The 26,722-nt window shown below is 42.7% G+C and overlaps 1 protein-coding gene and 1 pseudogene across 6 annotated transcripts in view, besides 4 other annotated features; one reads left to right on the top strand and one right to left on the bottom strand.

The window, feature by feature from the left end:
• The window catches only part of E2F3 (E2F transcription factor 3), a 91,836-nt gene that overhangs the window by 9,182 nt on the left and 55,932 nt on the right, over positions 1-26,722 (top strand). The window lies entirely within an intron of this gene.
• Positions 97-597: an enhancer, noted in NCBI's record as "H3K4me1 hESC enhancer chr6:20411388-20411888 (GRCh37/hg19 assembly coordinates)". NCBI's record gives its function as "activates a minimal SCP1, AML or CMV promoter by ChIP-STARR-seq in naive and primed H9 embryonic stem cells {active_cell/tissue: H9 hESC(naive and primed)}" and the evidence as "EXISTENCE:reporter gene assay evidence [ECO:0000049][PMID:30033119]".
• Positions 598-1,098: an enhancer, noted in NCBI's record as "H3K4me1 hESC enhancer chr6:20411889-20412389 (GRCh37/hg19 assembly coordinates)". NCBI's record gives its function as "activates a minimal SCP1, AML or CMV promoter by ChIP-STARR-seq in naive and primed H9 embryonic stem cells {active_cell/tissue: H9 hESC(naive and primed)}" and the evidence as "EXISTENCE:reporter gene assay evidence [ECO:0000049][PMID:30033119]".
• Positions 6,985-7,054: an enhancer, noted in NCBI's record as "active region_24128". NCBI's record gives its function as "activates an Ori minimal core promoter by ATAC-STARR-seq in GM12878 lymphoblastoid cells {active_cell/tissue: GM12878}" and the evidence as "EXISTENCE:reporter gene assay evidence [ECO:0000049][PMID:35858748]".
• On the bottom strand, positions 10,597-10,827 carry RN7SL128P (RNA, 7SL, cytoplasmic 128, pseudogene; annotated as a pseudogene).
• Positions 16,749-16,818: an enhancer, noted in NCBI's record as "active region_24129". NCBI's record gives its function as "activates an Ori minimal core promoter by ATAC-STARR-seq in GM12878 lymphoblastoid cells {active_cell/tissue: GM12878}" and the evidence as "EXISTENCE:reporter gene assay evidence [ECO:0000049][PMID:35858748]".

A 26,722-nucleotide genomic window follows, 5' to 3' on the forward strand; every position in this document is an offset into this window, starting at 1 on the left:
TCTTTATAAGCTGCCCATTGACTTGGGAAAAAGAACTGAAGAATAAGCTTCTTGTAGTAGTGCTATCAGTAGTGATAGTGTCATGAATAAAACCTTTATTTCTGTGATTAAATGTATTAATAAAGTGACACTACTAGCATGAATGACACTATTAACATAATTTCAATCCTGTACAGTAAACCATGGCTTAAGACTGAATGGCAAGAATCAGGGTGTCTGAGCTGCTGGGCCCTGCCAGACTCGGAGCCCCTGCCAGTGTGTGTATATCAAGGCAGGGCGGGGGGTTGTCTTGCTCTCCAGAGGCAATGGAACCTGCCTCTAGGCCTCCCTTTTCCCTTCTCATCTCCTCACCCCTCCTTTTTTATGTTAGATCTATTCCTACCCCTTCCCCTTCGCCTTGCCCTCTGCCTGGCTCTTAGAAGGAAGCAGACTTGCCACCTTCAGTGGCTGCTTCCCGGACTTACCAAATTAATTACCACCTTTTCCTGCCATCAAGGGATGGTGAAATCTTGCCTTTTCGGTCTTGCTTCCCATTCCTCTGCACTCGGCTGCTGCGACAGTGTGGTGCTGCAGGCACCGCAGATTTCCCTCTGGTGTGTTTGCTCGTAGCTTCTCCCTCTCCACCTTACTCCTTTTGTTGCCCTCCTCCCACTGGCCCATTGAGGCCCACATCAAGGGAAGGCGTAGGCACAGCCTCCCCCAGTTTCCCAGGGGCTTGGGCCTCTCCCTTCCCTTGGGTTACTGCTTCTTTCCTGTAACACCTCATGGTCTGCCTCGTAGCCTAATCTTGCATGTTCATGACTTACTCCTCCTCCAAACCTGTAAGCTCCAAGAAATCGGTCTGGCTTGCTTTTTCATCATGTGGTCCCTGCAGTGCCCACTACACTATAGGCTCAGCTACCTGAGAAGAGGCATTTTCATTAGACACCTTCCATGTGCTTGGTACCCCATTAGTCCTATTGGGGATACAAAAGAAGTATGAGGTGTGATCCGCCCACTCTTGAGTTTACAGTCTGTTGAGGAGACAAGCTTTAAACACAAGTTGATCTGCAAGCAAGACTAAACAGGCGGTAGGGAGAAAACAAGACTCATCTAGTCCTCAGTTGTGTGGTGTCGACAGAAAGTGCCAGAGGAACAGGTGAGAGTCACCAGACTCCAGCTGGGCCGTGAGATGGGGAGGCCACGGTTGTCAATCTTGGAGTACATTAGGGCACACATGTGAATCTCCCAGGGCGCTTTTTAAAAATACTGATACCTAGGCCCCACCCAGACCAATCAGAATGTCTAGAGGTGAGATTAAGACATGGATTTTTTTTCTTTTTTTAATGTGCTCAGTTGGAACCACTGGGCTTGGTGGAAAGGGAAGATTGGGGAGGCCCTTTCTGGCGGGGAGACATAAGTCAAAGGCAGGCAGGCAGAAAGATTGGCGTCAGGAGGCAGCATTTGGACTAGAGTCATCAGTATGGGGAGATAACAGGACCGAAGGTTGGATGTGTTGGCAAAACTGATCTAGAATTGGAGTTGCCTTTCTACAAGGGCTGGGCGGGGAGTAGATTGGGGGTGGGAAGTTTGAGTGGTGTGGGGATTGTTCACGAATAAAGAAGAAACGTACTATCAAAAGGGGGCCTTGGGACCTGGTCACAGGCAGTGGGTGCCAGAGGGGATGGCAGGCCTTGTGTTTTGCCAGGTCTTCAACCTTCTCAAAATGCCAGAAATCTACCAGTTTTAAAATGTTGGCTGAATTTAAAAGGAAATTGCGCAGGCCAAACAAAATAGGTCTCTAGGCCAGATTTGGCTTAAGGGCTGCCACTCAGCAGTCTCTGGTCTATGGGATAATAATAGCTAATGTTTATCGAGTGCCCGCATGTATCGAGGGCACTAAACTAAGTGCTTTACTCGCATTAGCACATTATCCACATAACAACCTATGAAGTGGGTATTATTATCATCCTTGTTCTACACAGGGAAGCAGACAGCCAGGGGTTAATGGCCTGGCTCTGGGCCCCATTAATAAGTGGGGCAACTGAAATTAAACCCAAGGAGCCTGGCTCCATAGTCTCAGCTTATTCCTAGTATTTATCCTCTGTGGTCTCTGGCATTGTATTAAGTAGTAAAAATCCAAGATACCTGTCAAAAAGAAATAATCCAGTGTTTTTCAAGTTTACCTGATTGCCTGTAGCACTTGTTACAGATTCAGATTCCCAGGCTCCATCCCTATCCTCTGTCAGAAGCCCTAAGATCTTCTGATGAAACATTCTGGAAGCACGGCTAGTTGAGCACAGGGAAAAGTTACTGAAACTAGATTGTCCAGGTGAAGGCAGGAGCCTTCTGCCACATCCATTCACATAATGCTTATCTCAGCTCTTCCTCGTTTGGAAAGACCCCAGGGCCCCAAGCCTCATACCTGCTCTCGTGGTTCCAAAACTTGCAGACTCCCAGGTTGTAGCCCAGGCAAACCATACAAAGATGGGTCTCCCAAAACTTAAAAGATGTGAAACAAGAAGTGGTTTCTTGGATTCTCAAGCGGTTGAGAATCCGAGCTCAGGAGGTCAAAGTGGGCTTGGTGGCTAGACGCCAGGCACCAGCACCAGCTGGGTACCCTTGAGTGGTTTTTCTGCCTTAACAGTAGGAAGGCTTTTCATTCTGTCTGGTCTGGACCTGCCTGAAACACAGCTAACCAAGTGGACAGAGCGAGAAATGTGAATACGAGGACCAGAGCACACCATTTAGAGTACGGGCGCTATTGAGTTGATGAGTCTGGAAGCAGGATGGCAACAATGATGGTGTGAAAAGGCAGGTGGAAGTGAAGGGCAGATTAAGGGAGAAAAGAAATACAAGACCTTTGACTCCCAAATATTTAACTCCAGGGGCTGGAAGAATGGGTGAGGCCAAGCTTCTCCTCTGTCTGGGGTGTGCACTGTGTGGAAGGCATGATTAGTCAGAATGGATGGGGTGGTTGTGAGTGACTCCATGGGCCATCCCGTTTTCTGAGGGGCTAAGGCTGAGCACCGGAAGTGGGACTTTGGCATAGAGGTTATAGTGGAAGTCTTGATGAACAATAGCAGGCCAAGACCTGGTCTCCCTAGCTTACAAATAAAAGAAATTTAACATGGTGCCACAAAAACCTTTCATCATTTTCACTTCTTCCTCTGTAATATGAAAACGAGACAAATTCATCAGGTTGATTTTTGGGGATCGATGCTGTCAGGGCTCGCAGAGACGAGCCATCAGATGTTATTTATTACATGCTTTACCCCGTCTCCTAGCTGCTGTGAGAAAGCCCACAGTTTGCAACCTCACAAAGCAAAGAGCCAGCTGGAAAGTACTGTGCATCCAGACAGGTCACATAGTCATGTCCTGAACCAAGATAGCTCTTTTTGCCATGATTTCCTACACTCTCTGATTTTTCTCATTAAAAAAAAAAAATCTTGAATTTATTTTCTTAAGCTCTAGCATTCTAAAGTTTAAACATATGAGCCTTTGAATACTCCTGTCTAGGAAAGAGCCGTGTAAATTCTAAGTATCTCTATAATTGACTTTTGATATGTTACTTGTGTTTAAACCCAATTTGCAACACCCCTTTTGTTGGCTAATTTTGTCGCTATGTTGGGTAGCAGAACTTGTGACGATCACACTAATAACATAAAGTTTCCCACCTTTCTTGTTGCTGTTTTCCTTGTTAGCATCTCAGACTTCCCAATTCTGGGAATAGTCTCTAGGAGGCAAGGTTTTCAGCTTTGGAAATGCATGCGTGACACAGTAGTGTGGTATGGAAGGCGTGTGGACTTGAAGATCCGGCTCCAGAAACACGCTCTGCCAATTACCGTGTGTGACCTTTTATAAATTACATCCATGAGCTGTAGTTACCTAAAATAGTGATCCTCTCTCCTTCACTGGCTGGAAGGATTAAATGAGATAGTGTTTATAGGAAATGTACTTTGTGTTCCTTAGTTGCCTCCCCCCGCCACTCCCCGTGGTAGGAACTCTTGAGTACTTGTCAAATCTGAACTCTCGGCATTTTTACCTCCTTCAGGGAAAACTATTGGACAGGCTCTTACTGAACACCCGCTTTTGTGCAGAATGCACTTCCTGATACTCTGGGAGTTTCAGAGGCTACTAAGGTGTCCTTCTGGCCCTCAAGGAGTTCATCTGGAGACAGGGAGACGACACATTTTCTTCAATAACTAAGAAAAGAAAGGGCAATGAAGACCATAAGGAAATAACAGTGAAGTTTCTTAGGCATCCAAACTTGATGGAGGGGACAAAGGAGGCTTCAGGAAGTTTTAAACTAGAACAGGACTTCAGCGCTCTTAACATTTTGGTCAGATACTTCTCCGTGGTGATAGTTTGTGGGCAGTTAACAGTGGTGGAGGGCTGTCCTGTGCATTGTAGCAAGTTTAGCAGGATCCCTGGCCTCCGCCCACTTAGATGCCATTAGCACCACTAGTTAACAACAATCGAAATTATCTTCACACTGTCAAATGTCCCCGGGAAGCAAAATCACCCCCAGCTGAGAACCACCGAACTAGACCTTGAAGAAAGGGTAGAAGAGGATATCATGTTTGCCTCTTCTATATATAGTACATATTTAAATTTTAAAATATGATATACATTTTAAAAGCAACGGATTTCTCATAGCTGGATTAACTTTGGAATGCCTAACCACCCCATGGCACCCCAGAACTGGGATCCACTGCCCCTACTCTTGGTAGTGCTCTGTGCAGGCCACCTAAGCCCTGTCTTTTTTATGATGAGGCATGATATTAATTGGCTGCTGGAAGCCTCTCTAACTTGCAGAAGAAAGGATCAAAGTCTGCAGTTCAGGGAAGGAAGTTTTGCATTTATCATTGACCCAACTGGGTAATTTAAGAGCGACTTTCTGCTCAGGGTCAACTTCTCAGTGTGGTTTTTAATCCCACTTCATAGTTAGATGATTTGGTCACATCACTTTCCCTCCAAACCCCATTTCCTCGTCTGTTAAATGAGGAAAATCATGGTTCTTACCTCACAGAGTTACTGTAAGGATTGAATGCAATAATGCCTGTAAAGTGCTGGCTCCGTCCCTGGCCATGTGCTAAACACTCTGACATTTGTTGTCTTCCTCATGTATATCATTATTGTGGTTGTCATTAAGTTGGGCTTCCGTTTCAGGACAGTTCAACAGTAAGCAGCCATTCCCTTTGTTGCTGGTGCTTCTGCAGCTATTTTCCTTGCTCACCTATACCCACGCTGGCCCCAGTTTCAACCACAGGGCCGGCTGACCCATTTATTTAGCAGATAGGTGTTAAGCACCTAGCATATGCCAGCCACCATTCTAGGTACCAGGAATACAGCAGTGTCAGAACAGACAAAATTCCCTGCCTCTGTGTGGTTTGTGTCATAGTTGGTGAAGATTTTGCCACATCATAAATACCCTGGTCTTGTCTTTGATGGGTTCTTTTTCTTTTATTTTTTAAATGGTTCTAAGTATGTGGTGCTGGACCAGCAGCATTACTTGGGAACTTGTTAGAAATGAAAGTTTTCAGGTTGTACTCCAGACCCACTGTCAGAAACTCAGGAAGTGGAAGTGGGGGTGAGCAGCACTGGTGTATGGCTTAACAAGTCCCCAACGTCATTCCAATGCACCAAGTTTGTGTGTGAATCAGTGTTTGGGAAAAGAAAGGAGTAGGGGGAAACCCAGGCCGTAACTGGGCTGCAATGTTATATGGTAACATCAAATAAGGTGTTGCTCATATCATGAGATTCTAGTAACATCAGAGTTTACAAAGGATAGTCTTAGGTACACCAAGACACTTAAAACTAGCAGTACCCTTTGATCTCTTTCCTGGGCCTGGCCACCCCTCCTTTAAATGGGAGGGCTTTGGGAGGCCTCCTAAGTCACCACAGCACACGGGACTCAGCAACAGAAATTCTTAGCCTTCCCTAGGCTTTTCCTTGCCTGATATACAAGGAAGTTGCTTTCCCCACTTTTCTCCAGACTTCTGGCATGTTTGACAATTATTTTTTCTTTTAATTCCTTCAGTTTTTATTGGCTTCTTACCTGGCATCATTAAAAAATTTTTATAGCTGCAATCAAATTGCCAACTGGATGGACAAGGCTTATCTGAAAATGAAATGGTAGCTCTCCTTTGTATGTCTGGTAATTTGGGTATTTAAAGATACAGTGAAAAGTAAATGAAATGAGAGACTATGGGAAAGTGTCCAGTGTGGAGCTGGGCACAGGGTGACCGTTTGATAAATGCTGGTACAGTCTTCCCCCCAATCCCAACTCATTATAAAAACCAATAAAGGCATTAAATAGACACCACGGTTCTTTGTGTGAAAAGCTTTGGATTACATACAGTCTGAATGAGTGAATACCATAATGTAAATTGTAACCAAAATAATAGAATCCAAAATCTTAAGTAATGACTTTGAATAAAAATAAGTGTTTTAAAAGTTAGTAACTTTTTAAAAAATAAGTGTAATTAAATAAACTTTTAAATTTAAAAAGATGTTACTTGATTTTTATTTCCTGATAATGGATTTAAAAAAAAAAAAAAAGGCCCAGATCAGACTGGCAGAAATACTTTTATTTCTGCACTAGCCCAAAGCCTGGATATGCTTATAAGGCATATAACCTGTCCATTTAACAGCTGTCATTTAATTCACAAACACTAATTAATTACAGCCATGTTAAAAGGGGTGTTTGGGACGGTTTGGTAGTTCCTTTTGAAGAAAACCTGTGTCTTGAAAATGCATATGAAAGATTACCAGGTTCTGTTATATATAGTCCAGGTTCGTCTTGGTGGTTCTATTCGAAAAATATCTCTCTGACCATCGGTGGGCATTTCCTCTCTCTTTCTGTCTACCTACAGCCAAAACAAGTTCTGGTTACAGTGACAGTTTTAAGTTTGCCATTTGTGGTTGGTTCTATTATAGAGGCTGGGGGAGGAAGGCAAGCAGTCCTCACTTCTTGCTTCCTGCCTTGCTCTAGAGTGTAAGGATCAGCTTCTCTAATCCCTTGACTTTTCACTGCTCTATGTAGTCAGGGTAGACAAGGGGTGGCCCTCAAACAACAGCCACCTCTGGAGGTCTAGCGTGACTAAACCACTGTCTTCTTTTCCAAATCCAGCACTGGGGACCGACGTGTGGGCCTCCCATCTGACTTGTGGAGTGAAAGAAATGGGAATAGAGCAGCGCTGTCCATATAGTCGAGTTTTGTAAATATTTGTCAGATGGAACTAGAGATGCATTATCACATTCGACAGTAACAAGTGGCAAGTGTTGAGCTCTTTTAAGTCTTGCTTTTTATTTCTTATAATATGCAAATAACTGTTAAAATGGCCAGCCAGTTGGCTGTCTGTTTTAGCTAAGGTAGGTCTCTTGCAATTTTTGCACCCTAGGGAGATCTCAATAGGAGTAGGTCTAGCCCTAAACTGTGCAGGATTAGGAATTCTGATTTACTGATCTGGAGGGCGGCTTTGTGTTAATCAGAGTTCTAAAGGCGGACAAACTAGACTGTGAACTTAATACTTACCCTGAGAAGTATAACTGCCAAGTGGACAGTTGCAGAAATTGGTTATTGCCTGTGTTCTCGATCAGAAGGTTATTAGCTGTGTCAGAGTAAAGGCATTGAATGATCCCATTAGTACCTTCCAGCTGTGGTCTCCTCTCTAGAGCGTACCTGCAGGGGAGGGAGTACTGCTAGCCACTTATGGAGCATATGGACACTGTCATTCACCCACCCAGGTGTCCAGTTCCATGACTCTGGTGTGAAACACTGAATTTGTTTGTTACCTTTTTTTTTTTGTAAGAAAATACTTGTTTTTAGTACCTGCTTATTATTTTTTTAAAATAAAAAATATATAAGGAAGTGGAGTGAAAATGAAAATACTTTCTTCATTCCCTCTTGATCTTGCTTCCTTCCCAGAGATAACCACAATCACAGCTTGGCCTTTCCTTTTTATAATCATTTGCAAATCTATATTTTATTTATATAAAAGTAAAAATGATTCAAAAATACAAAAGTGCACATCGTGGCTTGCCCTTTTGCTTAGTATTTCCAGAGACGTAATTCCCTATCTGTATATATTGTTGCTCATTATTCTTTGTAATAGCTGCGCTGCCACTCGTTATATAGATATGCCAGAATGTGTTTAGTTATTCCCATTTGATGGTCATTTCTGTCATTTTTCATTTTAACTATTGCTATTATGAACAGTGCTACATTGGATATCTATGTACATAAGTTTTTGTGCTTGTGTGTATTTCTGTAGGCTGCATTTCTAAGCGTTGAATTTTTATATCACAGGGCATGTATATTAAAATGCTGATAGATTAGATAGGTCCAAATTACCCTCCAAAAAGGCTGAACAAATTTATATTCCCACCACAAGTGTAGAGAGTTGCCTGTTTTCTCATACTTTTTCCAACACTAGGTAACATTAGTCTTTTTGCAGTTGCTGCTCATGCTAGATAGTACCTCCTTTTATTTATTTATTTATTTATTTATTTACTTACTTACTTACTTACTTATTTTGAGATGGAGTCTTGCTCTGTTGCCCAGGCTGGAGTGCAGTGGCATGATCTGGGCTCACTGCAACCTCCATTTCCCAGGTGTTCAAGCAATTCTCCTGCCTCAGCCTCCCCAGTAGCTGGACTACAGGCGCACGCCACCATGGCTGGCTACTTTTTTCATATTTTAGTAGAGTTGGGGTTTCACCGTGTTGCCCAGGCTGGTCTCAAACTCTTGAGCTCAGTCAATCTGCCCGCCTCAGCCTCCCAAAGTGCTGGGATTACAGGCGCAAGCTACTGTGCCCAGCCAATTTTTATTTATTTATTGAGACAGAGTCTCATTCTGTTGCCCAGGCTGGAGTGCAGTGGTGCAGTCTTGGCTCTCTGCGACCTCTGCTTCCCGGGCTCAAGTGATTCTTCCTCCTCAGCCTACTGAGTAGCTGGGACTAGTGGCGCATGCCATCACACCCGGCTACTTTTTGTATTTTTTGTAGAGATGAGGTTTTACCATGTTGCCCAGCCTGCCTCCTTATTTTACTTGTATGTTTTTTAAATTATTGCTGCTGCTACCACCACCACCGCTACTATTACTGCTACTGACTAATGTTTATTGAATGTTTTTATGTGTCAGGGATAGTTTTAAGCACGTTATATGAAATCACTAATTTAAACCTTAACATCTCTATAAAGTGGGTGTGATTATTGTCCACATTTTACAGATGATGAAAAAGACGAATTAGTAAATTTAAGTATCTGCCCTAATTTGCATTTCTGTGAGTAGCCTCTTTGAATTCTTTATCATTTTTGTGCCCAAGGCTATTTATAGTTTTCTTACTGAATTATTGGAACTTTTAATGAACTATAGATAATGGGCTTTCTCTGGTGTGTGTGTGTGTGTGTGTGTGTGTATAGTAAATACAGGCATACCTCAGAGATATTGCAGGTCTGATTCCAGAGCACAGCAATAAAGCAAATGTCACAATAAAGCAAGTCATATGGAGTCTTTGGTTTCCCAGTGCATATAAAGTTTACACTGTACTGTAGTCTATTCAGTGGGCAACAGCATTATATCAAAAACCAACGTACATATTCTTAACTTAAAAATACTATATTGCTACAAAATGCCAACAATCCCCTGAGCCTTCAGCGAGTCATCTTTTTGCTGGTGGAGGGTTTTGCCTTCACACTGAAGACTGTTGCTGTTTAGGGAAGAAGTCATTGAATGCTGGGGCAGCTGTGGCAATTTCTTCACATAAGAAAAAATCAAGTTTTCCACATTGATTGACTCTTCCTTTCATAAAAGATTTCTCTGTAGTATGTGATACTATTTGATAGCATTTTTCCCACACTAGACCTTCTTTCAAAATCAGAGTAATCCTTCCCAAACTGTCCTGCTGCTTTATCAACTAAATTTATGCAATATCCCAAATCCTTTGTTGTCATTTCAACATTGTTCACAGTCATCTTCCATCTCAAGAAATCGCTTTATTTGCTTATCCGTAAGAAGCAACTCCTCATCTATTCAAGTTTGAACATGAGATTGTAGCAGTTCAATCACCTATTAACGCTCCATTTTCATTCTAGTTCTCTTGCTACTTCCACCACATCGGCAGTTTCTCCACTAAGTCTTGAACCCCTGTCATCCATAAGGGTTGGGATCAACTTCTTCCGAACTTCTGTTAATATTGATATTTTGGCTTCCTCCCATTAACCATGAGTGTTGATATTGGCATCTAGAATGGAGACTCCTTTCCAGAAAGTTTGTAATTTACTTTATCCAGATCCTTTGGAGGAATCACTATTTATGGCAGCTATAACCTTACAAAATGTACTTCTTAAATAATAAGACTAGAAATTCAAAATTACTCCTTGATTTATGGGCTGCAGAATGGATGTTGTGTTACCAGCCATGAAAACATTAATCTCCTTGTACATCTCCATCAGAGTTTTTGTGTGACCAGGTCTATTGTCAATGAGTGGTAATATTGTGAAAGGAATCTTTTTTTCTGAGCAGTAGTTATCAACAATGGGCTTAAAATAGTCAGTAAACCATGCTGTAAACAGATGTGCTGTCATTCAAGCTTTATTACTTCACTGATAGATCACAGAGTAGATTTAACATAGTTCTTTTTTCTGACCTGGGCTGGTTCACCCCTCCTTAGGCAACCTGGTGGTCCCCCACTCCCAGGAGGTCGCCATATTGATGCCGAACTTAGTGCGGACACCCGATCGGCATAGCGCACTACAGCCCAGAACTCCTGGGCTCAAGCTATCCTCCCACCTCAGCCTCCTGAGTAGCTGGGACTACAGGCATGTGCCACCGCGCTCGGCGATCTAGCATAGTTCTTAAGGGCCCTAGGGTTTTTGAAATGGTAAACGATCATTGGCTTCAACTTAATGTCACCAATTGCATTAGCCCCTAACCAAAGAGTCAGCCTGTCTTTTGATGCTTTGAAGCCAGATATTGACTTCTCCTCTCTAGCTATGCAAGTACTAAGTGGTATCATCTTCCAATAGAAAGCTGTTTCATCTACATTGAAGATCTGTTGTTTAGGGTAGCCACTTTCATGAGTGATCTTAGCTAGATCTTCTGAATAACTTGCTGCTGTTTCTATGTCAGCACTTGCTGCTTCGCGTTGCACTTTTATGATATGGAGAAGGCTTCTTTCCTTAAAGGTCGTGAACCAACTTCTGCTACCTTCCAACCTCTGCAGCTTCCTCACCTGTCAGCCGTCAAAAGAGCTGATGAGATTTAGGGCCTTGCTCTGGATTAGGCTTTGGCTTAAGGGAATGTTGTGGCTGGTTTGATCTTCTATCCAGACCACTCAAACTTTCTCCATATCAGTAATAAGGCTGTTTTGTTCTCGTGTCATTTGTGTGTTCATGGAGTACCATGTTTAATGTCCTTCAAGACCTTTCCCTTCACATTCACAACCTGGCTAACTATTTGGCACAAGTGGCCTAGTTTTTTGCCTATTTCAGGTTTTGACGTACATTTCCTCACCAAGCTTAATAATTTCTAGCTTTTGATTTAGAGGGAGGGATGTGTGATTCTTCCTTTCACCTGAACACTTAAGAGACCATTGTGGGATTACTAATTAGCCTAATTTCAGTATTCTTGTTTCTTAAGGAATAGGGAGGCCCGAGAAGAGGGTAAGAGACAGGGTACAGCTGGAAGGTGGAGCATTCAGAACACGCACAATGGCTATCAATTAAGTTTGCCATTATATATTGTTACTAAACATTATTTAGTGACATTAGTAATTGCAATAGTGACATCAAAGATCACTGATCACGGATCACCACAACAGACATAATAGTAATGAAAAAGTTTGAAATATTACGAGAATTACCAAAATTTGACAGAGATATGTAGTAAGCACTGTTGGAAAAATGGTGCTGATAGACTAGCTTGATGCAGGGTTGTCACAAACCTTCAGTTTGTAAAACACTGCAGTATCCGTGGAGCACAATGAAATGTGGTATCCCTGTATTGTTTTGCCCAAGCCTATTATGTTTCTTTTGATTTTTCTATGATGTATTTCTTTCTACATATGTTTATTTAGTTTTTATAATGTCATGTGTCACTTAACGATGGGGATATAGTCTGAGAAATGTGTCATTAGGAAATTTCATCATTTTGCAGACATCATAGAGAGTACTTACACAAACCTCATGGTATAGCCTACTATACCCCAAGGTTCTATGGTCTAGCCTCTTGCTCCTAGGCTACAAACCTGTACTGTATGTTACTGGGCTGAATACTGTAGGCAACTTAAACACAGTGGTATGTATCCAAACATAGCAACAGTATAGTAAAAATACAGTCTTATAATCTTATGGGACCACTGGAATATATACAGTCTGCTGTCGACTGAAAGCATCATTGTTTGGCAGATGACTACATGTGACATTACAGTGCTTTTTTTTTGAGACCAAGTCTTGCTCTTGTCGCCCAGGTTGGAGTGCAATGGCACGATCTCGGCTCACTGCAACCTCTGCCTCCTGGGTTCAACCGATTCTCCTGCCTCAGCCTCCCAAGTAACTGGGATTACAGGCGCCCACCACCACACCCAGCTAATTTTTGTATTTTTAGTAGAGACAGGGTTTTGCCATGTTGGCCAGGCTGGTCTCGAACTCCTCACGTCGTGATCTGCCTGCCTCGGCCTCCCAAAGTGCTGGGATTACAGGTGTGAGCCACCACACCCGGCCATTACAGTGCTTTTTTTGAGACAGAGTTTCGCTCTTGTTGCCCAGGCTGGAGTGCAATGGCCTGATCTTGGCTCACTGCAACCTCTGCCTCCCGAGTTCAACCGATTCTCCTGCCTCAGCCTCCCGAGTAGCTGGGATTACAGGTACCTGCCACCATGCCCGGCTAATTTTTTGTATTGTTAGTAGAGATGGGGTTTCACCATGTTGGTCAGGCTGGTCTCGAACTCCTGACCTCAGGTGATCCACCCACCTCGGCCTCCCAAAGTGCTGGGATTACAGGTGTGAGCCACTGCACACAGCCGAAATTACAGCTTTTACAGTTTGAGTTTGGTGGCTTGCTTTGGGAAGGCCTTTCCTAATCTGCAAACCATAACAATATTCTATATATTTTTTCTCCTGGCTTCATAATTTTATTATTTTGATCTTTAACCTCAGTGGAAGGGTGTGTGTGTGTGTGTGTGTGTGTGTGTGTGTGTGTGTGTTTTAAAGGTGTGACTTTATTTTTCCTAAACGAATAGCCAGTTAAACTAGTGCCATTTATTGGATGGTTCCGCTTTCCCCACGCATGCACTTGAAATGCCCTTTTCTCAGAGAGACACAGAGAGAGTGTGTGTATGTGTGTGTGTGTGTGTGTGTGTGTGTACATGCATACATGCATGTATGTGCTGTGTGCATGTGTGTCTGTGTTGTTCTGTCTCTGAACTTTCTACTCTGCTCCATTGATACCTTTATCCCTTTGTAAAGAAGCAGCACACTGTTTTGAATACAGTAGCTTTGTGATATGATTTGCTATAGATAAGGAAAATCTGCTTCCTGTTACATACTTTTTTTTTTCATTAAAATTACAGTTTTTATGTTCATGCTTACTTGCATTTTTACAAATTGAGCTTCTTCTCCCCCATCCACTGTGAGTTTAGGGTTATAAGAAAAAAAACTCTCTGCACTTATTAGATAGTCTACTGCACTGGGAATAGCAGTAAGCTGTTTACATTTTTTCTTTCATCTGATACAACAAACCTTGAGAGTTGGTGCCAATATCCTCATCTGTAGATGAGGAAAGTGAGGCTCAGTGATGAAGCAGTTTGTCCAAGGCTGCATTTCTGGACATTGGCAGAACCAGGGTTCCAGACCAAGTCCAGGAAATTTCGAAACCTCTCTTAACCATTATGCAACCCAGACACGTGGGGTTTTCTCACATGACGAGGGCAGGCCATTGTCTAGGGCGGGTTATCAGGTGTTTCTCCATGTCCTGCAGGGCGGTCAGTGGCTTTTACAGAGTAGAGTGTTTATTGCATGAAGGGAAGACCTAGCAAGATCTCTCTAAAGGATTTATCCATTGGGGCAGCAAGAGTTGAAAAATTTGGCTTTGCCAAGGGTATTTGTTCAGATTTAGGATACAAGTCAAGTTGGGACCACAGGCTAAAGTTTAAGTGAGTGGGGAGAGAAATTATTTACCCAGTGCTTTTTTTTAATGCCAGACACTGTAACCCTTCCTCGGCTCTTTTCTAGAGTTGGGTCTGTGGTTTGGAATACAAAGGTGAGGAATACACAGCCCTGGACATTCAGAATGGGGCAGTAGGCTGGGAGGAGCTGTGCGCACAACCCCAGGAACCTTCTACTTTTTTTTTTTTTTTTTTTGAGACAAAGTCTCGCTCTGTCACCCAGGCTGGAGTGCAGTGGCACGATCTTGGCTCACTGCAAACTCTGCCTCCTGGGTTCAACCGATTCTTCTGCCTCAGCCGCCTGAGTAGCCAGGACTACAGGCGTACGCCACAATGCCTGGCTAATTTTTGTATTTTTAGTAGAGACGGGGTTTCACCATGTCGGCCAGGCTGGTCTTGAACTCCTGACCCTAGGTGATCTGCCCGCCCGCCCCGCCTCGGCCTCCCAAAGTGCTGGGATTACAGGCGTGAGCCACTGCGCCCGGCCCCTTCTACCTTTTAGAAGAAAATGCAACAACGTGTCTTAGCTCTCTAGTGGAGGAACAGAGGTCTCAGGTGGATCCAGAAATGCTTTGCTATAGAGTGGCATTTAAACTGGGACATTCATGTGTCTAAATTACCTAACAGTTTGAGCCCTCCCTTCCCCCGAGGTGGTTGCTTCTTCATTTGAATTCTCTCAGGTGCCTTCTGTTGGTTCTTAGAGGTGAACATCAGAAAAGTAATTTTCTTTGGAGAAGTTTGAAGCAGCCTCCCAAACAGAAGTCCTGTTGAGCTCCCACTGGGAGTTTTGGAAAAGTAATCTCATTTATTAGGAATAGTGTATTGATTTTGTGTGTAAAATGGACTAAGAGGCCTGTGACAATGAGTCCATTTGAAATTGCAAATTTAAATATCTAATACAATAGTTGTGCGGAAATACTACACCAGAATATAAATGATTAGCTGCTTAGTGAATTTCTCATGTGCATGTAATTAATTGGCAGTGGTGGTGGGGATCAAGTTTGTTTTCATATCCTGAGTCCTTTAATTTACCTTTTCTTCAACAATTACTGGTGTAAGTATAGGGGAATTAAATCTTAGTGTCTTTTATAAAAATATATAGTTTTGCTTTGTCATTCATTTATTGTTTTTTGGTCTACATTATCCAATTTTGTATTACACAATAGAAGGCACCTAATCAAAGATTTCTTGTTTTTACTGCATGATTGCACTCTTAATTTTGTGAAAGCATAGGTTTACTTCCAGACTGAGAGGTAAATGAATAATTATTTTGTGATTTATTTAGCACTTGCCGCCCCAATCTTGTTTTTCACGTCTGCAGTTATGGCTGAAATATCTTATTCCATTCCCAGCCTCTCTGTTGGTGGTATCTGCCTGATCTCCACCTAGTGTCATTGTGGGATCGTGGCCACACATGGGCCTTCCAGGGCTGTGCTGTTGGTGACCAGTGGTGCTTGTAACCCTGAAGTGTTGGCATGGCCTCAGCTGACTGGGCTTTCCCTCATGCCCAGGGCTTAAACTTGAACTCTGCCTGCTCTGTTAGCAGTTTTTCTCTACATTTCTTTTAAAATAGACTTTCACTTCTTCCTTCCCATCCCCCCCAATACAACTGCCCTGGCATCCTGGCTTTTTCCATTCTTGACAAATGATCTGTCCACTGTAACTGTAGCTCCACTGTGCTGATATCTGTTGAAATTAGACCTAGAATCTAAATGTGGCTCCATGAAACTATGGGTGAGACATTTTTTTTCTTCAAATAGTCTATGGTTTATTGGCACCCCAAACCACCTATCCATACCTTCTCCACTGTGATGCTGGGGGAAGAAAATGGGGTAATATATGTGTAAAAGTGACTGAGAATGAAAAGTTCTGCATAAGGTACAATGTTAGCTGGGGTTTTTGCATATATAATAAGAAGACAAATGTTCACTACCACTCCTGCCTGCCTTCCCTGGGCATATCGAACTGATTCCAGCCTAATAGCATTTCTTATCATATAATGGGAATCACAAACCCTCCCTATGTCCACTCCTACAGCGCCTTCTTACCCTAATGAGGCTTTGTAACTCAAAGATTTAAACATCTCATTTATGCTCCATTGACTGAGTTAACCAAACACTTTGTATTTGGCCCTTTCCTCTTAGAAGTTCAGAACAATAATATGGTCCTGAAACTACTCCTGCAAAATCTGCTTAGGGAAGAAGGGTCGGCCAGGGCAGGGGTTACATTGGGGTTTGCAGTGTAGTCAGGCACCAGGGACCTGGCAGGTTGGGTGGGATCAATTCTTTTCACCTCAGGGCTCCAGTTTCTCATTTGTCAAATAAAAGTGATTTCTAAGGCCCCCTTCTGCTCAGACCTTCTGTGACTGTCCACTAAGCCACAGAGACTCACTGTGGCCATTGAATTCTTGGGGACCTCAGGGAGGTTTTGCTGCCGAAGTGACTGCCCATTCTGCCGGCATACATTTGGACTACCATTTGAGGTGACTTGGAGAGAATGTCACTGTGGAAGTTGGCCTTCCTGACACCTGCCACACACCTTCCATGCCATGCATCTCCTCTTTTCGAAGTCCTAGGAGCTCCTTGATGATATTTACTATTTACATTTGCATCTCTGATAGTGCTCTTTCCAAGTGAGTTGGCAGCAGTTCATTTAAATTCTGAAGCAGATCTCTGAGTTAGGGTTTGGTTCTTCTGGCCTTTGAGATGGGTGCTGCCCAGCACAGCAGGCCTCGGTGAACACCGCTGTTCACCAAGGGACTTTGGTCCCTCTCCTGCAACGATTCAGTGAACTGCCTTGAAGCTCTCGCAGGGACTCTGAAGTACTGAAATGTTTATTTCTAAGTTAGAGGCGAGGAAATGAAACTAAGGTCACAGACATTTAGTGATTTTCTTTTCTCCCAAGGTGAGGGAGGTGGTTAAGGGCTTGGACTTTGGAGTTTAAAATCTCACCAGCTGCGGGAACTCAGGCAGTCATTTCTCTTTTCTAGACCCAAACTTCCTCTTTTATTTTTTATTTTTTTTTATTTTTTGAGATGGATTCTTGCTGTGACACCTAGGCTGGAGTGCAATGGTGCGATCTTGGCTCACTGCAACCTCTGCTTCCCGGATTCAAGCGATTTTCCTGCCTCAGCCTCCCAAGTAGTGGGATTATAGGCATATGCCACCATGCCTGGCTAATTTTTGTATTTTTAGTAGAGACGGGATTTCACCATACTGGCCAGGCTGGTCTCGAACTCTTGACCTCAAGTGATCCACCTGCCTCGGCCTCCCAAAGTGCTGGGATTACAGACGTGAGCCACCACGCCCAGCCCCCAAGCTTCCTCATCTAACATGGGACGGTTAATGACTTACCTCTCAGGGTTGACTGGGAAGGGAGCGGCTGAATGAGAACCAATGTTGGGAATGTAGACAGGGTCAGAAAGGTTAGCCCTCTGATACGTGCTAAGCAAAGATTAGAGTTGGTGCTGAAAACAGGTCTCTTGCCTAAATCTTGGATTAGTACACAACTTCCACATATAAAGAGTTAGGGGCATCTTTAGGTAGATAAATCTATTTTAATTGTTCCGTAAATATATTTAGAAGAATTTTGGTCAACATGGATTTGGTGCAAATTTCGTTGCAGCTTTTTTTCCCCCTTTTGTTATTCTAAGCTGCCCTACAATGATATTTTTAGAAATTTCTGGGAACTCAAGACTGTCATTGCCAGGGCAGAGCCAAAACACCAGAGGTTCTCGTAGACCAGTGGTTCTCAACTGGGGAATGTTCTGCCCCTCATGTGACCTTTGGCAATGTCTGGAGACATTTTTGATTTTCGTAACTGGGAGTGGGAGATGCTATTGGCATCTAGTGCGTAGAGGCCAGGGATACTGTTAAACATACTATAACATATGTGACAGCCTCCCCACAACAAAGAATTATCCAGCCCAAAATGTCACTAGTGCCAAGGTTAACAAGTCTTGCTCTCAGATAATTCTTTGCCTATCACAGGCATTCTTTGTCCCCAGCTACAGTGTCATATAAGCCATCTCAAACAAGGGTATATTCGTTGTCCCCCTTATCCACGGTGTTGCTTTTCGTGCTTTCAGTTACCTAAGGTCCAAAAATATTACATGAAAAATTCCAGAAATAAACAATTCATAAGTTTTAAATTGCACTCGGTTCTGAGTAGCATCATTAAATACCACCTGGGACTTGAGTCATCCCCTTTGTCCGGTGTATTCGCACTATGTTACACTATTCCCCAACCCTCATTCCTTACTGTATAGGAAAAAACAGTATGTATAGGGTTTGGTACTATCTGAGGTTTCAGGCCTGCAGTAGGGGTCTTGGAATGTATCCTCGGAGGATGAGGAGAGACTACCGTATTTTTTCCGGAAAGTCTAGGACCATTTCTCAAACTAAGAGAAGGACAAAGTTGGAGAGGAAACTGTTTCTGTTCTGCATAGTTTGAGATATGTACAATTTTGAGACCCAATCCAATTTTTTTCCAACCACTTTCTTGTGTGTTTTTTTTTTCAGTATCTTAACCCACATTGATGTTTTATCTTCTGTAAGCACTAAACAGTGGCAAGTTACACAAATAAAATGTGTGCTTACTACATTTTAATTGCTCTTTTTTATGCAAATAATAATAGATGGTTTTTTTGTTCTTACACATTGATTCCTGGGGGAATTTTAATATTTTATTAAATATTAAATAAAATGCCCTATTTTTTTCCTTTCAAATTGAACCACCCTAGTTATAATGAGCCATCAGTTCTAAAATGAATCCTCTCTGTTAAAATGGCAGCTTGTTCTAACTAATCATGCTTTGAGTATTCTGCTGTAGTTAATCAAAGTTAAAATAGGAGGTTATATTTTAAATATAAATTCTACTTTTAAATTCTAAATTTGCTATTTTTCCATTCTGGAATATTATGATAGGGTTACCAGATAAAATACACGATGCCAAGTTCAATTTGAATTTCAGATAAACAACAAATAACTTTTTTAGTATAAGTAGGTCCCATGCAATATTGGGGATATAGATATTTTTTAAATTTGTTGTTTGTTTGAAATTCTAATTTAACTTACTTAATGCTCTGTATTTTTATTTGCTAAATCTGATAACTCTAAAGATAGGACTCAGGATAATTGGAAAATACCAGGAAATACCACTCACGTCTGACATCTCCCTGCATAACTTTATCTTGGATGTTTTACTTTACAAAGTATTAAGTAATAAATCTCGTATAGTTATTTGCCAAAGAGAAGGAAATAAATTTCTGAAGGGAATTTAGAAAATTTGTCCCATAAGCACATTTATTGGTCTTAAAGGGTAGCTTGAATAAACTGGAGTTAGTTGTTCACGTGACATTCAGAAGTACCATATTTGACATAACACCTCAATTCCAGAGGGGAAACTTGGATGGGAGAGAAAAATCCTTTTTATGGGTTGGCTTCTAGAGATTACCTAGAACTTAAGTGAGGTGATTTTACTCTTTCTTCTTTTCATAAGCAGTAGGATTCACTTCAGAGTTGAGGGCCTGTTGCAATAGAGGGACATGTTGATTATAAAAGAATTGGGTTATTTTTGGCTAAAGCAGGCAGATCACCTGAGGTCAGGAGTTTGAGACCAGCCTGGTCAACATGGCAAAACCCCATCTGTAATAAAAATACAAAAATTAGTTGGGCATGGTGGCGCACACCTGTCATCCCAGCTACTTGGGAGGCTGAGGCAGGAGAATCACTTGAACCCAGGAGATGGAGGTTGCAGTGGGCCAAGATGGCGCCACTGCAGTCCACCCTGGGCAACCAAGAGAGACTCTGTCTCAAGAAAAAGAAAAAAAAGAATTAGATTATCTTTGGAAAATAGCAAAAAGGCCCAACCAAAATTCTCACTTAAAACACAGAATTCACAAGAGTGTGCTGAAAATGAGCATGCCGGAGACACGGTATTCCTCAACACTTCTCGTCATCAGCTGACACCTGAATCTACCCGGTGGGAGGAATGCAACTGTCTCTGGATGCCACTATCATTACATCTCTGTGGCCTCAAATGGGTCCATTGCAGAATCTTGCTATCTTCAGTGACCTTAAAGATGTTTTTGCTTCTGGAGAAGGAACCAGCTGCATCAACGGTGATCTGCTGACTTCATACAGTACTCCGTCTGCTCCCACCTCGCATCCCATGGCCCAGTGTCCCGTGAGCTGAGATTTGCCTTCTGCTGACGGTGTCCTGCCTCAGGTGCCAGGAGCACTGCTTTTTGCTTTTTTGTCTCTCTAGGAGCAGACTGAACATATTGCAACCTGTGAGTCGGAGGGGGGTCAACACCCCAGGGCCACCCTCTACCAGTGGGAATGGAAGCCAGTGGATAAATGGCCCTACTTCCTAGAAAAGTTCCAGGGGGCATTCTGGATGCTTCTTGGGAGGCCTCAGCAGAATGAAGCCCCTGTTACCTGTAGCCATGACCTTCTACACACACTCTTCAATAATACACCCACCTCACTCTCCCTCCTCCTAGGATCACTTCCCAATAAACTACCTGCACACAACTCCTTGTCTCAGCCTCTGTTTTTGGAAATATCTAAATTTAGACACCTATTACATTAGTCTGGTAGGGCTGCCATAAGAAAGTACCACAGACTGGGTGGCTTCAACAGCAGAAATCTATTCTCTCCCTGATCTGGAGACTGGAAGTCCAAGATGTTGTCAGGGAGGTTTCCTCTGAGGCCGCTCTCGGCTCCAAGATGGCTGCCTCTTCACCTGGTCGTCCCTCTGTCATAAGCTCACCGGGTGTCTTTTCCTTCAGATTGGATTTGGGCTTACCCCAATGGCCTCTTTCAACTTAATCACCTCTTTAAAGGTTCATTCTCCAAATACAGCCACATTCTGAGGCACTGGGGGTTATGACTTCAACATAGGAATTTAACGGGGACGTGGGGGTGGGCGTTTAGCCCAAGGCACCTGTGAAGGAGAAAAATCTGATTTAGAATACAAGCTACCCCAACATAATTGGCCTCAAGATTGTGGCTGTTTTCAAAAAACTCTTCCATCTTGTATAGAACTCACCTACTCTGGGGCCTTGGGGAGGGGGGTCTGTGAACATGGAGGCCATGGTGTTCGTTGGCCACCTCCTTTTAGATTAACTGCGCAGCCTGTGTCTTCACTTCTGCTCTGTACATGGAGAAGACAGGGAAGGCAAGGCTGCTGCTTACCTGAAGGAGTTCAAAGTGTAAATAAGACAAGCCCATTAGATCTATCAGGGGAAAGCCGTTTAGGTTTGTTTGAGACAAGATATATGGTGTAGACCACAGACCTTACGTTTAGGGAAAGCGTACTTCTTCAGTGGGCTGAGTTTCTTGTAACAGAAGGTGTGGTCGGATGATTACAGCTGGGGTTGAATTAGATGATTTATGGAACAGCTTCTGCCCTGAAATTTTCTGATTGAGAGATGGATGTGGTCTGGAGTATGTGAAAATGGGATAGATGGAGGGAAGGTTAGGGGAGAGGTGAACAGGGCCTCTTCCAGGGTCTTGTGGAAGACCCTGTTCGACGTTTCCTCACGTAGACTGTCTGATGAGGCTCTTCCAGGGTGTGGTATGGCCAGGGTGTGTTAAATGTAGGGAGCACAAGGCAAGAAAGGGCTGCACCAAGCTGCTTCCTGCCTCAGGGCCTTTGCACTTGCTGTCCCATCTGCCTGGAATGGCCTTGCCTCACATCTTCATATGACCTTGGCTCCTTGTCATCTATTGACTCACCTGTCACTTCAGAAAAGCCCTTGCTACCATCTGGTCTGCCAGTCACTCTTTATCCTATTTTCATGTTTTATTAACATTCATCACCATCTGCAGTTAGACTCTTTTGTTTGCCTAGTGCCCACAATGTTGCCCGACGCTCACTAGGTGCTCTGTGAATATTTGCTAAATGAATGAAGAACTTGAAGGAAGCTGGCAGTGGGTGGACTCGCTGAGATTAAGGGGCATGGAAGATTACTCAAGGCAGCCTCAGCCCCTTTCTAATGTTTTGTTTTGTTTTTAAATTCAGACTCTGTGGACTCAGTTCAATTCACACAATTGCCAAGTGCCTGTCTGTGTCGTGCATTATGCTAGTTAGATCCCAGGAATCAAATGAATTAGACCTGAAGGAGATTACAGACCAGTTCTATGGTTCAGGTTGTTAATGTGGGCCCCTGGATAGAATTCTAGATATTACTTAATTTTTTTGTGTGACTACCCTCTAACTGAAATTTAGCGTTTTCTTCTAGTATGAACGTAGGCACTAAACCACAGTAGAACTGGCAGTGTGTTTGACTGTCACCCATAGAAATAGATATTTTCATATCACATTACACTTGTTGCAGCTGTCTTGAAATATTGTTTATGCTCATCATGACTTCAAAATTACAGTAATTTTTGACCTGCTGCTGGATCTTTTTATTTCACGCACTAACACAGAAGAACATAGATTACTGTATGATAAATTGCTTTTTAATATTTTGAATAGCTATATTTCAATACAAAGTGTTTCCTTTGTAATCCCATATATATATATATTTTCTTTTTTAAGACATAAAAAAGCACTAGCCTGAGAAAAGGGGTCCAATAGACTTCATCAGGAGGCCAAAGGAGGCGTCTATGGCACGAAAACATGAATTCTGGTGGAATTATGTGAAAAGAGAAGTCCTATCACTCCTTAAAATCATGTTAATGAAGATTCCTATCAAATGTGGTCCCCACCCCCTGCTCTGGGTTTACTGCTTCCCTGTGAATCTTCTCCACACTTTTGTTAATTTTGGGATGGAAGTTTGAGAGAGATACTTTTTTCATAGATAGGTTGGAAGTGATGCTCACCTTATCAGGACTGTAAGAGGATATTGCAAGCTTTGATGATTGAGCAGAAAAATCTTTGCACAGCTGGTCAGAACAAGCTTGTCCTGCCTTGTGGGAGGGACAGAGTTTTCCAAATGATCTTTTGGTTAAGACCTTAATTAAAAACAGCCTAAATTCACTTGTGGCAAGAATTTATTAAAGGAAGATAACCATGAGCAAATCCACGTTGTGGTATAAGAAAAGGGAGCACCATCGTTAAAAAAGTCAGAGGCTTGAATTCTGGTGAACTTAGCACAAAGAAGCAAGAAAACTTTAGACTGGTTTCTTAACAGTTTGCTATCTGTATAACTAGGGGTGAATTGATCTCAAAGACCTAAGAATCTGTGGACTTAAAGACACTGATTTGTGGCATAATTCGAGGTAGTTTAAACTGGAATATCAAGGTGTCAGAAGAAAAATGTACAAGTAATACATCTCAGTTTCTTTTCTCCTACGCCACTTAAATCTTAGACCCACCGAAAGCTCTAAATGTATCAGTGGATTTTTCATTATTTCCAAAAATATTCTGCTTGCTCTTTCTGAATAAACTATAGAGAGAAACACAGGTTTCTCTTCAGGTGCCTTATTAAGTTTAACTGTTGTATAGTACAGCTTTGCTTCTTTGTTTCATTTAGGACCAGAAGGGGTCCAGGTAGCTGAATATCCCTTCCTTGCCCTGACATCCCCATTCACTGCAGCAAGCTTTATAATGCCTGTGGTCATCCTTGGTATGAATGAGCACTGGAGACCCCACCATGGGCAGTACTAAGCAGAATCAGGCTTCTGTTCATCAGAATGAACAAAGGCACACGCATAAAATGAGAGCGTGGCAGATGGAGAGGGGTGGGGAGCCTAGAGGGTGACTGGCTGCAGGCCTCAGCAGTGGAGACAAGGGCACAGGAACATGGCGCCAGGGCCGACAGATTTGGCGTCAGCCGTGGATGCTCTGCATAGCACCCATCTGTAAATGGGTGTGGTCCTGGACAAGTGAGGTCCTGCTGGATTATTTAAGAATATTTTATGGTGAGTTGTATTTGTTCTTTCCAGCAACAGCTCTTTGAAGTAGTTTAGTGGTATATCCATTTTACAGTCAGCACTTCAGACTCAAGTTTGGTGATCACATGCCCCAAGTCTCCAACTCCTGGGCTCAAGCAATCTTCCTTCCTCAGCCTCCCAAAGTGCTGGGATTGCAGGCATGAGCCACTGCACCTGGCCGATGTGCCCCAAGTCATGTAAAAAATTAATAGACAATGCAGAATATATGGGAGAATGACGTATTGCTGGGCCTTTTTGATTTGCTAGTGAGACCAGAACACTTTAACATACTAAAAGTTATAGCTGGTTAGCAAGCCAACTTTTTAACTTCAAAAGATAGGGAAAAATAAGCATTATTAAAACTCATTGACTTGGCCGGGCACAGTGGCTCACACCTGTAATCCCAGCACTTTGGGAGGCCAAGGCAGGTGGATCACAAGGTCAAGAGATCGAGACCATCCTGGCCAACATGGTGAAACCCTGTCTTTACTAAAAATACAAACATTAGCTGGGTGTGGTGGCGCACGCCTGTAGTCCCAGCTACTTGGGAGGCTGAGGCAGGAGAATTGCTTGAATTCGGGAGGTGGAGGTTGCAGTGAGCCGAGATTGTGCCACTGCACTCCAGCCTGGCGACAGAGGGAGACTCCGTCTCAAAAAAATAAATAAATAAAGTAAATTCATTGACTTGCTGAACACCATAATTAAAGGGATTCTGGAGGTAAGAAAAAGGTGCTCCTTTTGTTGTTATATAACAACAATAAACATTATTGTTACTATTATTACAGCCCTTATCTTGCTTTCTTTTCTTGTCCCTATCAACCTTCCCTGGAAGAAAGAGAACTTTTCCAGGCTAAGATCATACATTAAAGAATTGTCCTTTTTTTTTTTTTTTTTTTTTTCCAAGACAGAGTCTCTCTCTGTTGCCCAGGCTGGAGTGCAGTGGTGTGATCTCAGCTCACTGCAACCTCCGCCTCCTGGATTCAAGCAATTCTTCTGCCTCAGCCTCCCGAGTAGCTGGAATTACAGGCATGTACCACCACGCCCAGCTAATTTTTGTATTTTCAGTAGGGATGAGGTTTCACCATGTTGGCCAGGTTGGTCTCAAACTCCTGACCTCAGGTGATCCACCTGCCTCGGCCTCCCAAAGTGCTGGGACTATAGGCGTGAGCCACCATGCCTGGTCTAAAGAATTGTCTTTACGATAGAGGAATGTTTGACTTTAGCACATTTCTGGTAAAATCAAGATTCTAGATCGGGGTGTCCAATCTTTTGGCTTCCCTGGGCCACGTTGGAAGAAGACTTCTTGGGCCACACATAAAATACACTAACACTAACAATAGCTGATGAGCTAGGAAACACACACACACACACACACACACACAGAGAGAGAGAGAGAGAAAAATTTTGTAACGTTTTAAGAAACTTCGTGAATTTCTGTTGGGATGCATTCAAAGCTGTCTTGGGCCACATGCGGCCCGTGGGCCGGAGGTTGGACAAGCTTGTTCTAGACGTTCTTCCTCTGTCTCTCTATGTTAGATGCTTTCCCACGTTAGCAGTCCTTTTCCCCTCCTCTCTTAAATGACCAAGCAGGACTAGGAAAGCATAAAGGCAATGAGAACACGCTGCCTGGGATTTAAGCCCTTGAATTCCAATAAGGTTCTAATATGGACTTCTACTAAAGCATAATGGTTAATTCCATTTAGAGAGTGGGGAACATCTTTCATACTTTTTAAAACATCAGGCCAGGTGCAGAGGCTCATACCTGTAATCCCAGTGCTGTGGGAGGCTGAGGTGGGAGGATCACCTGAAGCCAGGAGTTTGAAACCAGCCTGGGCAGCACAGTGAGACCCCATCTCCACGAGAATGTTAAAAATTAGCCAGGTGTGGTGGCATGTACCTGTAATCCCAGCTATTTGGGAGGCTGAAGTATGAGGATCCCTTGAGCCCAGGAGTTCAAGGCTGCAGTGGTTGCAGTAAGCTGTGATTGTGCTGCTGCACTCCAGCTTGGGCGCAGAGTAAGACTCAGTCTCTTAAAAATTTAAAGTCATTATTCCCAGGTGGAGTGTACTACTGAGAAATAGAAGTCCCTTGGTTGGACCTAGCTTATAAGAAACTTCAAAGCAGTCATTGCCAACTACAGGTGATGATTGGTAATTTGAGCAAAATTTGATAGCTTTTGAAATGGCATCAATTTAAAAGAAGTAGTTTTTGTTTCTTGATCCGGGGCAAGGCTATTATTCTGGTTTCCAATACCCTTTATCCATCTGAAGAGCATCAAAATTGGCGGGTGCCAATCAAGTTTGGAAATGGAACTGAGCAGCATAGTAACCTATAGAAAATTCATGAATATAGAAAATTCAAGATCATACATTAAAGAATTGTCTTTTTTTTTTCAAAAAAATTTTTTTTCTAAAAATGTAGTGTTATATTAAAATGTAGTGAATATTATAATAATTCTAAAAATGTAGTGTTTATATTGTTTTCCTGCTTAAGTTAGGCCAAAGTTGGTAAAATGCATTTTAGAACCCTATTTTTGTTAAGGAGAGCACAGAGCCACTGGTTTAGAGAAGTTTGTAATATCCAGAGGATGAAGAAAACGGACACTTGTCATTCTGAGTTCACGGGAACGGGAGAAACTGAACCCTTTTAGGTTGATCATCAGCTTGATGTGAAGGGACTTGAGAG

Source organism: Homo sapiens, chromosome 6 (genome assembly GCF_000001405.40).
Source record: "Homo sapiens chromosome 6, GRCh38.p14 Primary Assembly".
Classification (NCBI taxonomy): Eukaryota; Metazoa; Chordata; class Mammalia; order Primates; family Hominidae; genus Homo; species Homo sapiens.